The sequence below is a fragment of the Homo sapiens genome, chromosome 17, assembly GCF_000001405.40.
Source record: "Homo sapiens chromosome 17, GRCh38.p14 Primary Assembly".
Classification (NCBI taxonomy): domain Eukaryota; kingdom Metazoa; phylum Chordata; class Mammalia; order Primates; family Hominidae; genus Homo; species Homo sapiens.
In genome coordinates this window covers 20,961,645-20,976,025 of record NC_000017.11, presented here as the reverse complement: position 1 = coordinate 20,976,025, position 14,381 = coordinate 20,961,645, and the positions used below count along the sequence as shown (strand labels likewise).

General features: G+C 44.3%; 1 protein-coding gene and 1 long non-coding RNA gene across 22 annotated transcripts in view, besides 3 other annotated features; both read right to left on the bottom strand.

Annotated features, from left to right (window-relative positions):
• The window catches only part of LOC124900389 (uncharacterized), a 61,221-nt gene that overhangs the window by 23,761 nt on the left and 23,079 nt on the right, over positions 1-14,381 (bottom strand). The window lies entirely within an intron of this gene.
• The window catches only part of LOC339260 (uncharacterized), a 43,792-nt gene that overhangs the window by 6,332 nt on the left and 23,079 nt on the right, over positions 1-14,381 (bottom strand). The window lies entirely within an intron of this gene.
• Positions 6,316-6,405: an enhancer, noted in NCBI's record as "active region_11876". NCBI's record gives its function as "activates an Ori minimal core promoter by ATAC-STARR-seq in GM12878 lymphoblastoid cells {active_cell/tissue: GM12878}" and the evidence as "EXISTENCE:reporter gene assay evidence [ECO:0000049][PMID:35858748]".
• Positions 6,416-6,465: an enhancer, noted in NCBI's record as "active region_11875". NCBI's record gives its function as "activates an Ori minimal core promoter by ATAC-STARR-seq in GM12878 lymphoblastoid cells {active_cell/tissue: GM12878}" and the evidence as "EXISTENCE:reporter gene assay evidence [ECO:0000049][PMID:35858748]".
• Positions 6,696-6,745: an enhancer, noted in NCBI's record as "active region_11874". NCBI's record gives its function as "activates an Ori minimal core promoter by ATAC-STARR-seq in GM12878 lymphoblastoid cells {active_cell/tissue: GM12878}" and the evidence as "EXISTENCE:reporter gene assay evidence [ECO:0000049][PMID:35858748]".

The following is a 14,381-nucleotide window of genomic DNA, read 5'->3' as shown; positions in this document are numbered from 1 at the left end:
ATGATTTCTCACCTGGCTATTTTGAAATATTGAAAATGGCACTAAGACCCACCCCTGCCTGCTCCTATCTCCACCCAGAATGAACCTTCAGAGATTTTCAGGGTTGAGAGCCCACCATCCCCATGCTAGTTCTAAAGGAAGAACTACTTAATTAGGTCCTGGGTGAACTGGTCAAGTCACCTTCTTAGTTTTCTGTTTGTGAAATGGGGACAACCACTTCTACCCATCATAATTTTTGACTCCTGTCAGCTCATGTTGAAAATGGATTCACCATGGATGAGTAACCCAGAGTGTGCCGGAGTGAAGTGCCTGTGGTGGGGAAAGGACAGCTGAGTCATCCTGGGAAGAACCTGGGCCAAGCAAAACCTCAGTTTTCTTGACCTGTAAAATGGGAATTCTAGGCTTCCTTTTCTAGCTCTTCTCAAGGGTGTGTATATGACAAGCATGTAACTGGCCCAAGACACGGCTGCTACTACTGGTAGTTGTTACTGTGATATAAATAGTATGAAATATAATGGGTCAATAGTTATAATCTTATAATAATATAAAATAATTATAATATTAACGATAATTTTTTGTAGAGACAGGGTGTTGCTCTGTCTCTACAAAACTGCAGGGGTGTAATCACAGCTCACTGCAGCCTTGAACTCCTGGGTTCAAGCGATTGTCCCCACTCAGCCTCCTAAGTAGCTAAGACCACAGGTGTGAGCCCCCGTGCCCAGCCAATGATGATTATTAATAATAGTAGCATCAAATTAGTGCTCCTGGTGGGAGGGAACTACTCCCAGAACCTGAACTACTCCCAGAACCTGAATTCCCAGCACCCACTGCTGGGTGACATTTCTTATTGGTGACATTTCAGGGTGTAGCCATTCTGCCTCCTCCTACTGTCTCATTTGTCTCTGAATCCAGTGCCTTCCATGATAGCATGCACACAGCAGTTGCTGGATAAATGCTAATCAGTAACTGGATTCCTTGTATATAGTTGTCCTCAGTAAAGGCTTGTGGAAGGAAAAGCAAGCCACATTCTTGCACTGTGCTGATAGACAGCTGGGCAGGGATCATACGGAGTTTCATCAGCAGCTCCCTCCCTGCCTGCATCTCCTCCATCCTCCATCCAGGGAGGACTCCATCCAGAGAGGTGCCCTGGTGGGGAAATGGGAAAGTCCTGGCTGTTGCTTTCAACACTTCAGAGAAAGGATTCTTGGCACAAAGTGACTGGGCCAGAAACAGGCACAGGAAATAACTTCCCTCAGATCAAGACCCAACCCAATAAAATATTTAAATGTGAAAAGAATAAAAATATGTAAAGTTAATAGAGAAGAAACCATTTGATAATTTCTTTACATTATTGGAATATGAAACGCCTTTCTAATTATGACCCAAAATCCATAAAAGAAAAGATGCATAATATAGAATCCACAAAACAAGCAAACAAAAAAACTTCTTCATGACAACAAACACCTAAGTCCAAAGACATATGAAAAACAGGCACAAAACCTTTGCAACTCAAATCTAAAGAATAAACGGAAAAATAAAGACCAGCTACCCAAGAGAAAAATGGGCAAAGTGCATGAATACACAGTTCATAGACAGGAAAATACAACATAAGGATGCTTTGCCTCATTCAAAAGAGACGGCAAATTCAAACTACACTGATACCATCTTCACCCTAAGAGATTGTTAAAACTCCAAAAGTTTAGTAACACCTTCTTTTGGCAGAGCCATGGGGAGAGTGGCATTCTTATTCCTCATGAAAGGAGAGTAAACAGAAATAACCCCCATGGGGGTAATTTGGCAACATTTGTCAAAATTACTGAGGGATTTACCCACTGACCCAGTGATTAAACTTTGCAATTTATCCTGAAGTGTGAAATGATAAATTCATTGCAGTAACATTTGTAATAGCAGAAGACTAAAAGTAACCCAACAACCATCGGCAGGGAATTGACTGAGTAAATTACAGTATATTTATACACTAGATTTTTATGTAGCTATCGAAGTAATGAGGAAGCTCTTTATATGTTGCTATGGAAAGAACAGCAAGACATATTGACTAAAAAAATAAAAATAAAAACAAAATAAGGTATATAACAGCATGGCTCATAGGCTCTGTTTTTATTTCGGGGGTTGTTTTTGCAAAAAGGGGGAAGCTCTGATCTGTATTTTGTGAATGATCATATACGCATAAAGAAATCCTGTTGAAAAATAAGAAACCAAAAACACCGTTTTAAATAAAACATTTAAGAAGAAATTTAATAAAAGAAGTGCAAGACGTGAAAACTATACAACATTGCTGAAGTAAATTAAAAATTTCAATAAATGGAAAGACATCCCATGTTCATGAATCGAAAGAAAAAATACATGAAGACTCATGGTTCCCCACCTCAACACTTATTGCAAGGCAACACTAATTAAGGCAGGGTGGTCTGGCATGAAGACAGACATAGATCAACAGAATATAATTAGAGTAACAGTTGTGATCAATGGATTTTCAACAAGGGTACCAAGACAAGTCAATGAGAGAAACAATAGTCTTTTCAATAAATGCTGCTGGGTTAACTGTATATTAACATACAAAAGAATGAACTTGGGCCCCTTTCTCACACCACACACAAACGTGAGCTCAAAGTAGGTCACAGACTTACATGTAAGAGCTAAAACTATAGAACTCTTAGAAGAAAACATGGAATTAAATCTTTATGATTTGGGGTTAGGCAATGACGCCAAATGTGCATGATAGACGAGAAGATGGATAAAAATTGGACTTCATCAAAATGAAAACCTTTCGTGTTCCAAAGAACATCATGAAGAAAGTAAAAAGACAATCTACAAACCTGGAGGAAATAGTTACAAATCTTGTATCTGATAAGGAGTTTGTATCCAGAATATATAAAAAATGCTTATAACAGAATACTGAAAAAAGACAAATAATCCAATTTTTATATGGGCTAGAGATTTCAATAGACATTTTCCCAAAAAAAGACATACAAATGGCCAAAAAGCACATGAAAAGATGCTCAACATCATTTGTCATTAGGGAAATGCAAATCCAAACCACACTGACATACCACCTCACACCCCCTAGGGTGGCTACAATGAGAAAGACAGTCAATGACAAGTGTCAGTGAAGATGTGGAGAAATCAGAACCCTCATGCATGAAATGAGCTATAAAACAGTGCGCAGCCGGCCAGACACAGTGGCCCATGCCTGTAATCCCAGCACTTTGGGAGGCCGAGGTGGGTGGATCACCTCAAGTCAGGAGTTCGAGACCAGCCTGGCCAACATGGTAAAACCCCATCTCTACTAAAAATACAAAATTAGTCAGGCATGGTAGTGGGCATCTGTAATTCCAGCTACTTGGGAGGCTGAGGCAGCAGAATCTTATGAACTAGGGAAGCAGAGGTTGCAGCAAGCCAGATTGTGCCACTGCACTCCAGCCTGGGCAACAAGAGTGAGACTCTATCTAAAACAAAAAACAAAAAACAAAAATTAAAATAAATAAAATAAAATAATTAAATTTAAAAAATAAAATAGGCCAGGTGCAGTGGCTCATGCCTGTAATCCCAGCACTTTGGGAGCCCAAGGTGGGCGGACCACAAGGTCAGGAGATTGAAATCATCCTGGCTAACATGGTGAAACCCTGTCTCTACTAAAAATACAAAAAATTAGCTGGGTGTGGTGGCGGGCGCCTGCAGTCCCAGCTACTCGGGAGGCTGAGGCAGGAGAATGGCGTGAACCTGGGAGATGGAGCTTGCAGTGAGCCAAGATCGCGCCACTGCACTCCAGCCTGGGCGACACAGTGAGATTCCGTCTCAATAAATAAATAAATAAATAAATAAATAAATAAATAAATAAATAAAATAAAAATAAAAATAAAATAAAATAAAATAGCACAGCCACTTTGGAAAGCAGTTTGCAGGTCCTTAAAATGCTAAATGTAGAATTACCATATGATCCAGCAATTCCACTTCTAGGTATCCATCTACTCAAAAGAAATGAAAACACGTCCACCCAAAATCTTAACACAAAAGTTCATGGAAGCATTGTTAATAATCAAAGTGGCCAAAAAGTAGAAACAACCCAAATGTCCATCCACCGATGACTGGAAAAGCCATATGACATATCCATAAAGTGGAATGTTACTTAGCCACAAAACTGAAGCAAGTACTGATACCTGCTACAACATGGATGGCCCTTGAAAACATTATGCCAAGTGGAAGCAGCTAGTCACAATACGCCACATATGATTCCATTTATGGAAAATGTCCAAAACAGGCAAATCTACAGAGACAGAGAGTAGTGGTAGCCTGGGGTTGGGGAGGAATGAAGACTGACAAAGTTTCTTTTTGGGGTCATCAAAATGTTCTAAAATTAGCTTATGGTGATGGCTGCACAACTCTAAAACACTGACTTGTACACTTTACACAGGTGAATTTCATGGCATGTAAATTATACCTCAATAATGTTGCTTATTCTAGAGGAGGTGGGAACTGGGCAGATGGAGGACAAGGTGGGAAAGAGACTTTCCATTATACATCTTCCAATACTTTCTGGGTTTCAAACCATCTGACTCTACTGTATATTTAAAAGCAAATGTAAAATCAAAGGATCAAACAAAATTAAAGACAGACCCCTGATTCTTCCCCCTTTTGGGTGGGGGGAGCAAAGAGGGAGAAAGCCACCACCCACCACATATCACCGTGAAGGGATGGTTGAGTGGAACGTGGGCAGCAGGTTCTATGTGACAAGGGCAGCCTTGGAGAGGTTCCAAGACCCATTCATGGCCTAGAAGCCACCAAAGCCACCGGACCTATGGAGAGACAGTGCCTGACTGACCAGATGGCAGATGCCAAGCTGACCAGAGGGCCTGTCCCTGCCCCCTCCTCCACCACCATCAAAATCCCAGAACCACCATCAAGTGTCAAAGGAGGGCAGGAAAACCCCAAGATTGACACCAGCCAGGCAGAATAGAAGCTTGAGAGAGAAGCTCCATTGATGGAAAGGGAAGAAAGGGAACTCCTCTTGGACACTAGCTCTGTGGGCTGGGCTCATACTCCAGGCTGCTGCAGACTCGGATGCAGGACAGAGACTCTCCCCTGCACCCTGAAACCAGAGAGCAGCCAAAGAGGGTGATTCTCTGAGCCCTCTGCTTGTGCCTCCACACGTTTGGCTAGTTAACAGCTGCTGCACCAAGAAAGTTCTCTGTGGTCAAATTACCTTGAAAAATCTCTGGGTTAAAGGAAGCCAAAGGATTTTTTTAACTGCAAGTCTTCTCAGAGCCTTTCCTTGTGACTCTTTAACAGGGGATCTGACAGGTTCAAAGCACTTTTGTTTTTTTTGAGGGATATCTGGTAGGAAAGACAGTCTTCTTCATTTTACACTGAGGGGAAGTGGCTCAGCCAAGGTCTCAGAGTGGGTCACTGAACAACTGGCCAGGGGTGATTCTGCAGCACCAGGCGGCCTCTGCTAGTGCCAGGTCACAGTTCTAGCTGGGTCTTGACTCCCGGCCCCAGGGCTCTGGGCAATTTCATCCTGTGTCAAGGCAGCCTCTGGTCACTGCCTTGTCTAACTCTCTCAGAAAGAGAAACATTACGTATTTGAGCCCCTGGCTGGGTAGATTCTGGGGATGTGGTCGCAGGACACAAAAGAGGATGAGAGAACAGATTTGTTCTCTGCCTGGAGTGTGGGGACAGAGCTGCAGGGAGAGGCTGTGAATCTAGGCTATGCCCTAGGTCCATCCAGCCTTGGATTCTGTCTGCACAGTGAAGGATCTGGAGCCCTTTCATAAAGCCTTAGAAACCTACCCTGATAAAAATGTTGCAGTATAAATAGTCCAGTATCTTTACCAACCAACCAAGAAAAAAACAAGTGGAAACTGTTATAGATTAAAACATAGCCAAATGTCTAATGTGGGCTATGCTGGGATCCTGATTTGAACAAATCAACTGAGAAAGACATTGAAGAGATAGTCAGAGCAGTTTGAACCCTGGCGGGTTATGTGATGATGTTTAGGAATTGTTTTAGCAGGAATTGTATGATGCTTAGTTTTTTGTTTTTAGTTTGTGTTCTTAAGGAATAAATCCTGCAGTCTCAGCAACTCAAAACAATCTGGTATTTGAGATTAGCATTAAAATGGTCCAGCGGGCATGTAAGGGGGAAAATGGAGGCTGTGCGGGGGCCATGGTGACAAAGGGAATTCCTGCCGGTGTGGCCAACCCTGTAGCCTCAGTGGCTTCTCTCCCAGAAGGCAAGCCCCACATCCCAGAGGCATCCAGACTTGGGGCTCTCCATGTGCAGGGGCTTGGGGAGGCTGGGACTGCCCCAGTGTGTGGATCTGCTGTGGGCCTTGCACCTACTGGACCCTGCCAACCCCCACGGCACTCAGACCCAACCCTCCTCACACCTCCCACCTGCCCTCCTGCCTGGCTACTCACACGGCTCCTCCTGGTCCATCCACTCTGGCCAGCTTGCCCACTCCAGCCCAGGCCACTCACTACTCAGGATGCTTATTATTAGTCTTAGATTTGATTATTGCCTGGGCTGCACTTCCTGGGTTTTCCCCTCAACCTGTTGGATGTAAATCAGCCACACCCACTCCCGCCCCCATGCCTGTGCATTGGGTCTCAGGGGCCCAGGTGGGTGGCCGCGGCCCAGGCTCCTGGTGTCCCATGGGGTACAAACAGAGCAGTGGAAGGCCTGCCTGGCCTTGCGATGAGGTATTGACTATGGGATGGCCCAAGTCTTCTAGATCTGACCCTGGCCACCCCTTAGTCCTGATCTCCTGCCCCCTGGCACACAACCCGAGCCAGGCCAGCTCTCCAGCCTCCCAGCATCACTCAGGCATTTCACTCTTCCTGGACATTCAAAGCCTGGTCAGCTCCTCCTTGAAGGCTCCACTGAGGTGTCACCTCCTCCAGGAAGCCATCCCTGACTGCCCCAGCCCAAGTCAGGTGGTGCTCCTTCTCTGTGTCTCCTTGGCCCTATCTGACACCTAACAGAGGAAACCCAGAGCCAGACAGCCTGGGTTTGAATCTTGACTCTGCCGCACACCAGTGGACGGCCTTAGTGGCAATTTATGAAACTCCTTTGTGCCTCCATGTTCTCTGTGTGAAAGGGGATGAGAACATTGCCTGTCTCACAGGTGGTTATGAGCATGAAGGGAGGGAGCACAGTTAAGTTCTCAGAGCAGGTTCTTGGCACACAGTAAGTCCTCAATAAAGGCCGTGGAGGATTAACATTACAGCCCATATTGCACTGCATGGTGACTGCACTCCTGTGTCTTCCCCATCCTCTGAAACCTCCCAGGGGATGGGAGGCCCAGCAACAGCCAAAGGCGGAGTGAGAAGAACGTAAAAGCCAAAGAAAGCCCATGGGCCCTTAGGAAGAAACTGAAGGAGAAAGAGGACGCGGGCAGGTGGAGAGGAAGGAGGGAGGCTCCAGGAAGCAGCTGGAGCAGGGTGATGGTGCACAGAGCAGGAGAGGAGATGCAGACGGTCAGCAAACACAGAAAACGCCAGGTCCCTCAGATCAGAAAAAAACAACTAAACAATGAAAAAGTAACTCACCAATCAGGTTGCAAAGTTTTAACGTTTGCTAACATCAGGGGCAGGGGGTGATCTACAGAAACATAAACTCATGCCCTGCTGGAGGGAGGGAGCTGGCAGCAGCATTCTGGAGGGCAACTGGCCAGGGTCAGTTAAATGTAGACCCCAAACCTAACCCACCCGCCAAGAAATTCTCCTCCTCAGTGAGTCCCCTAATGACAGCCAGAAACTGGAAGCAATGTAAATGTCCATGCAACAGAGGATGCCTGAATCCGCAGGGTGCACAGGCCAGAGTCAGAAGTCTGTGCCACAGTTAACGAGACAGATCTGGAAGCTCTTAGGACAGATGCTAAGTGAATAAAAGTAGTTTATAGCATGAGCCTTACAGTATGATCCCTTTTAGTAAAACAATACCAAAACCAAACAGATCACACACACACACACACACACAGTACAGTGCTGTGTTGTCTGTGAACACACACACTGAGTGTGAAGCATAAGAAGCCTGCAAGGACTTGCATGACGTCACCAGCTCTCACCAAGTGAGGCAAGAGGGAACCAGGACTGCATCAAAGAGGCCTTTAGCTGTATTTGTAACATTTAAATTTCATTACTCCTGTCAATGAATAGTAACAAAACCACAGCTGGGATCTGGCAGGTGGGTTTCTAAGAGCGATATAATAAAGAGATCCCATTGCTAGGAATTTTCTGTCTGCGGAAATGAGCAAGCCTAAAGTCACTACGGGATGCCCTCATTGTGTCCCTCCTTACCTCCTGTTTTCACACCCCCAGGGTCAGGACTCTCACCACCTCACGGAGCAGCTGGCTCTAATGCTACAGTACTGCTCTAATAATATTCTAATTCCACTCAGGAAACCAGCGGCCTTTAAAACTCTTAAACATCCCATTACAACTTGCTAAGGGTTATGGATTCCAACTTTGGAGATACAGGTGAGATGTAGGGACTCAATCCATGCCCTTGCCTGATTCACCAGTGTCCAAGGGTCCAGTGGTATGGCAGGGACCAAGGAATGCAGCCAAGGTGCCACCCATGGAAGTGTAGGGTGGCTGTGCCTCATCATGCTTCTTGGGAGGTGACAGAGAACTTAGGAGAGACTTAGAGTTGAATTCCACACATTCATCAGACTGACTTCCAGCCCAAGATCCCCCAGCTGAGGGAAAGCAGAAGGCAAAGCAAACTGAGCATCCTTGGCTTTGCTGAGGTCTGAGGGCATCAGGACAGAGGAGGAGACAAAGGACCTGGTGGCACCACACTTGGAGTTGTCAACCTCAAAACTCCAGAGCACTGACATGGTAATTTCTGGGCATTGCTAGGACCTCAGCACTAATGTTTTCGTGCTAGAAAGTCCCTGTTTCCTGCTGGCTGTCAGCCAGGGGCCCTTCTCGGCTCCTCACATGCCCCTCCCTCTTCAAGCCACCAAGAACATGCAGAGTCCTTCTCATGCTTTGAATTTCCCCAACTTCTGCCACAAGCCAGAGACATCACTTGGCTTTTACAGGGCTCTGTGATTAGGTGGGGCACATCCAGACCATCTCCCTGTGTCATATAAAGGGGAGGACATTCTACCAGGGAGAGTCATGGGGGTTATCTTTAGAATTCTTTCTGACATATTCCCATCTCAGCTTTCTGTCCCTTCAGAATTCTTACTGGAAATTACATTAGAGATGGAAATTTCCCCATCAGAACACAAAACTAGGAGCCCAAAGTAGACTTTTAGGTGAAAGAAAAGGAGGAGTATGAGTTCCCTGGGTCAGGGCTGCCCACTTGGCTTGGAAAATGGCTGAGTTGAGCAGAATGTGAGGAAGGGCCTCCTAGGAGCGCCATTTTGAGCTCAGTGAGGGCCTCACTTCATAGCAAGGGCAGACTCACATCCTTTCACTGGGTCTCAATCCTGGGCCACTCAAGACGTCACACAGCTGGCCCGGGGCTTGGCAGGTGGGTCTGGCTGTGGTGCTCACTTCCCAGTGCTGCTGACCTGAGGCTCCCACCGTGTGTCACTTTAGATCCTATCGGCACAGTCACGGCAGTGAAGACCTCCTTACTCTGACCCTCCACACCTAGGCCTTGGTGGGAAATAAACCTTCATGCAGACACCAAAGCCCTTCAAGAGAGGGGAGCAAGTGCTTGAATGTCATCTCCCTGACCACTGTGTATAAATTGTACCATTCACCCAATATTCCCAACCCTCCTTCCCTGCTTTATTTCTCTCCACAGCAATACAACCTTCAAATAGGGTACATATGTTACCTTTTATTTCAGTTAACTGCCAGACCCCATGAGGATGTTTAAGTTCCATGAGAGCAGGGACTGCTGCCTGTTTCATTCACTGTGGAATCCCCAGCACCTACAATATTACCTGGAGCTGAACATGTCCCTGAACACAAGTTCATTACTGAGTTAACATATGGAAGGGGGCTGAAAGAAACCAGAGATGACACAAATAAATGAAAAAACATTTCATGGTCATGGATTGGAAGCATCACTATCATTAAAATGGCCATACTGCCCAATGCAATTTACAGAATCAATGTTATTCCCACCAAACTACCAACTGCACTTCTTAAAGATTTAGAAGAAACTATTCTGAAATTCATATAGAACCAGCAAAGACCCTGAATAGCCAAAGCAGTCCTAAAAAAGAAGAACAAAGCTGAAGGCATCACATTACTGGCATTCAAATTATGCTACAACTCTACAGTAATGAAAACAGCATGGTACCGATATAAAAGCAAACACACAGATCAATGGAAGAGAAGATAAAGCTGCATACCTACTATTATCTGATCTTCAACAAAAACAAACAATGGAGAAAGAACTCCCTGTTCAGTAAATGATGCTGAGATACCTGGCTAGCCATATAGAGTAGAATGAAACTAGAGGCCTACCTTTTACCACATACAAAAATTAACTGAAGATTTAAATGGAAGAACTCAAAATATAAAAATCCTAGAAGAAAACCCAGGAAATACCATTGACATTGACCTTGGTGAATAATTTTTGGCTAAGTCCCCAAAAGCAACTGCAACAAAACCAAAAATTGACAAGTGGGATCTAATTAAACTAAAGAGCTTCTGCACAGCAAAAGAAACTATCAATGGAGTAAACAACTTTCAGAATGGGAGAAAGTATTTGCAAACTATGTATCTAATATCCAGAATTGATAAAGAAAATCAACAAGCAAAAAACAACCCCATTAACAAATTGGCAAAGGACATGTACAGACACTTCTCAAAAGAGGACATACAAGTGGCCAACAAACATACAAACAATTCTGATCATCACTAATCATCAGAGAAATGCAAATGAAAACTTCGTTGAGATAACATACCATCTCACACCAGTCAGAACAGCTACTATTAAAAAGGCAAAAAATAATAGCTGCTGGTGAGGCTGTGGAGAAAAGGGAACACTTATACACTATTGGGAGTGTAAATTATTTCAGCCACTGTGGAAAGTGGTTTTGAGATTTCTCAAAGAACCTCAGAGTTACCATTCAACCTAGCAATCTTATTACTGGGTATGTACTCAAAGGAAAAGTCTACCAAAAAAACACGTGCACGTGTATATTCATCACATTATTCACAATAGCAAAAACATGGAATCAACCTAGATGCCCATCGATGGTGGAATGGATAAAGAAAATATGGTACATATACACCATGGAATACTATGCACCCATAAAAAGGAAACCATGTCCTCTGCAGTAGGATGGACACTGCTGGAGGCCATTATTCTAAGTGACCAATGCAGGAACAGAAAACCTTACCACACTTTCTCGCTTATAAATGGGAGCTTAATATTGAGTATACAGAGACACAAAGATAGGAACAGACACTGGGGACTCCAAAAGGGGTGAGGAAGGGTGGAGGGCAGGGCCTGAAAAGCTAACCATTGGGTACTATGCTCACTAGCTGGGTAATGGAATCAACTGTATCCCAAACCTCAGCATCACACAATATACCACTGTAACAAACCCGCACATGTACCCCTTGAATCTAAAACTTGTGTGTATGTGTGTGTGTGTGTGTGTGTTGTGTATGGGGAGGAGAGAGAAAGAGAGAGAGGGAAAGACATAACCTACCATGGTGTATTTTGGTGAGGTAGAAATAAAGTTATTTTAAGTAAAATGCACATGGCTACTGGTTTTCAAAAAGACTATGAACCATCTGACTTTCACCAGTTTTTTTCTTCTTTTTTTTCTTTTGGCTTCTAATTCTGAGAGAACAAGCCTATGACAATCAGATCTAGACACATACTATTTTGTGAAGAGTAAGTAAAGCAGACACACACTTATATTTGTAATTTTACAGATTTAACGATGAAAGAATATAACTCTTCAGGCAAAATGAGTTTTGGATTTCTTCAAATGTAAAATGTTTTGCAAACTAATCCAGGATGTTCATAAAAACAAACCAAAAAATCACTCCAGCAGGAAATACTATTCTTGTGATCATGACTGGAAACTTTGTGTCTCTTCCCTGCAATCTCAGTACAACAAGGTTACACCATAGAAGGCCACCCCTTCTGAAAATGTTAATTGCTTTTTCATATCCCCTCTGGCAGCTGCCTCAGTCCATTTCTGTCAGATGGGGGACAGCACAGGTGGCATCAGGGGTGTCATACTTGAATGACAGCTCTTTTTAAATGTTTTCTTCAATTTCAAATTACCATTCCTATTTCCTTTATGCTAAACCTCCTGCAGGCAGCCGCCTCCCTCTGGCTTCTTATTCTTTCCCGTGTCCTCGGCAGCGTGGCTGACGGGCTCGGGGAGGCTGTAACCGAGGAGCCTTCCTTCATGGCATGGTCCAGCTTTGAAACAGGGTAGAGGCAGAGTGGACAGGAAGAACAAACAGGGATCTGAGGTGAGTTTACACCTTGAGAGCCTCTATTGTTGGTCAGTAGCGTTGACAGGTTTTTTTTTTTTTTAATTTTTTTGGAGACAGGGTCTCCCTCTGTCACCCAGACCAGAGTGCAGTGGTGCTATCACAGCTCACGGCAGCCTCAAACTCCTGGGCTCAAGCAATCCTCCCACCTCAGCCTCCCAAAGTGCTGGGATTCTTTTTCTTCTTTAACATAAAGTGAAAAGAACGTTATGGAAAAGATACAAGATACATATACTCTGGGTAGATTCTGGTTTTAAGACATCTGACTGCTGATATGGCAGAAACTCCCAGCCCCGCTAATTTACTCTCTGTGCTGGGTCCTGGCTGAGGCGGGGTTTTTCTTTTATCTTTCCTTTCCTTTCCTTTTCTTCTCTTTCTTTCTTTTTTTTCTCTGAGATGGAGTCTCGCTCAGCCACCCAGTCTGGAGTGCAGTGGCACGATCTCGGCTCACTGCAACCTCCACCTCCCGGGTTCAAGCGATTCTCCTGCCTCAGCCTCCTGAATGGCTAGGATCACAGGCATGCACCACCACATCCAGCTAACTTTTGTATTTTTAGTAGAGACGGGGTTTCACCATGCTAGCCAGGATGGTCTCGATCTCCTGACCTCATGATCCGCCCACCTCGGCCTCCCAAAGTGCTGGGATTACAGGTGTGAGCCACTGAGCCCGGCCAAGCCTGGGTTTTTCTTGCCAGCTTCTTTCATTTTCCATCCCCACCTCCCAAAAAGCTTCAGCCTGGGAAGGGAGTGTTGTGGCACTGGAATTGTCGGAAGTTTTAGCAAAATGTTGTAAGGATGCAGTAGGAGTTGGCAATTTTAAAGAACGTATCTATTTAATGTGAAATATACAACAATAAAGCTTTTACAGGAAAACACAGGACAATATCTTCACGATCTTGGAATAAACAATGTCTTACACAGAATACAAAAAGCACTAACCATTAGAGAAAAGACTGATGAATTAGACTTAATTAAATTAAGAACTTTGTTCATCAAAAGAAGATAATTTAAGGCACACTGGGAGAAGGTATTTGCCACATATTTGTTTGACAAGGGACTTATATGGAGACTACATAAAGAACTCTTTAAAGCAATAAGGAAAACAACGAGAATCTGATTTTATAAATGGGCAAAAGCTCATATCCTGCTTACAGAGCCAATAAATCCCACCCCCCAAACAAACAAAATGGGCAAAAAAACCTGAACAGGTGCATCCCAAAAGGCACTATCCACATGGTCAATTTGCATATGAAAAGGTGTTCAGCCAGTGGGGGGGGCGGTGGCTCATGCCTGTAATCCCAGCACTTTGGGAGTCCGAGGTGGGTGAATCGCGAGGTCAGGGAGTTTGAGACCAGCCTGGCCAACATGGTAAAACCCCTGTCTCTACTAAAAATACAATACATCAGCCAGGCGTAGTGGCAGGTGCCTGTAATCCCAGCTACTCAGGAGGCTGAGGCAGGAGAATCGCTTGAGCCTGGGAGGCAGAGGTTGCAGCGAGCTGAGATCGCACCTCTGCACTGCAGCCCAGGCGACAGAGTGAGACTCCGTCTCAAAAAAAAAAAAGAAAAGAAAAAAAGAAAAAGTGTTCAGCCTCCCCAGCCAAAAGAAAAACGCAAATCAAAACCACAGTGAGACACTACTACACATCACCCACATGACCGCCAGTAAAAAGACTAACACACTACTAAGTATTGATGAGAATGCAGAGAAACAGACCTCTCATAAATTGCTGAAAAGACATGAGTTATACAAATACTTCAGTCATCTGTTTGGCACTATCCTAGAATGTATGCATACCCTAAGGCCCAGGAATTCCATTCCTAAGTATGTAACCAACAGGAACGAGCACATACATGTCTCAAGAGACATCGATAAGAACGTAACAGTTCTATTCACAATAGCCCCAAACTGTACATGACTCAACTGTC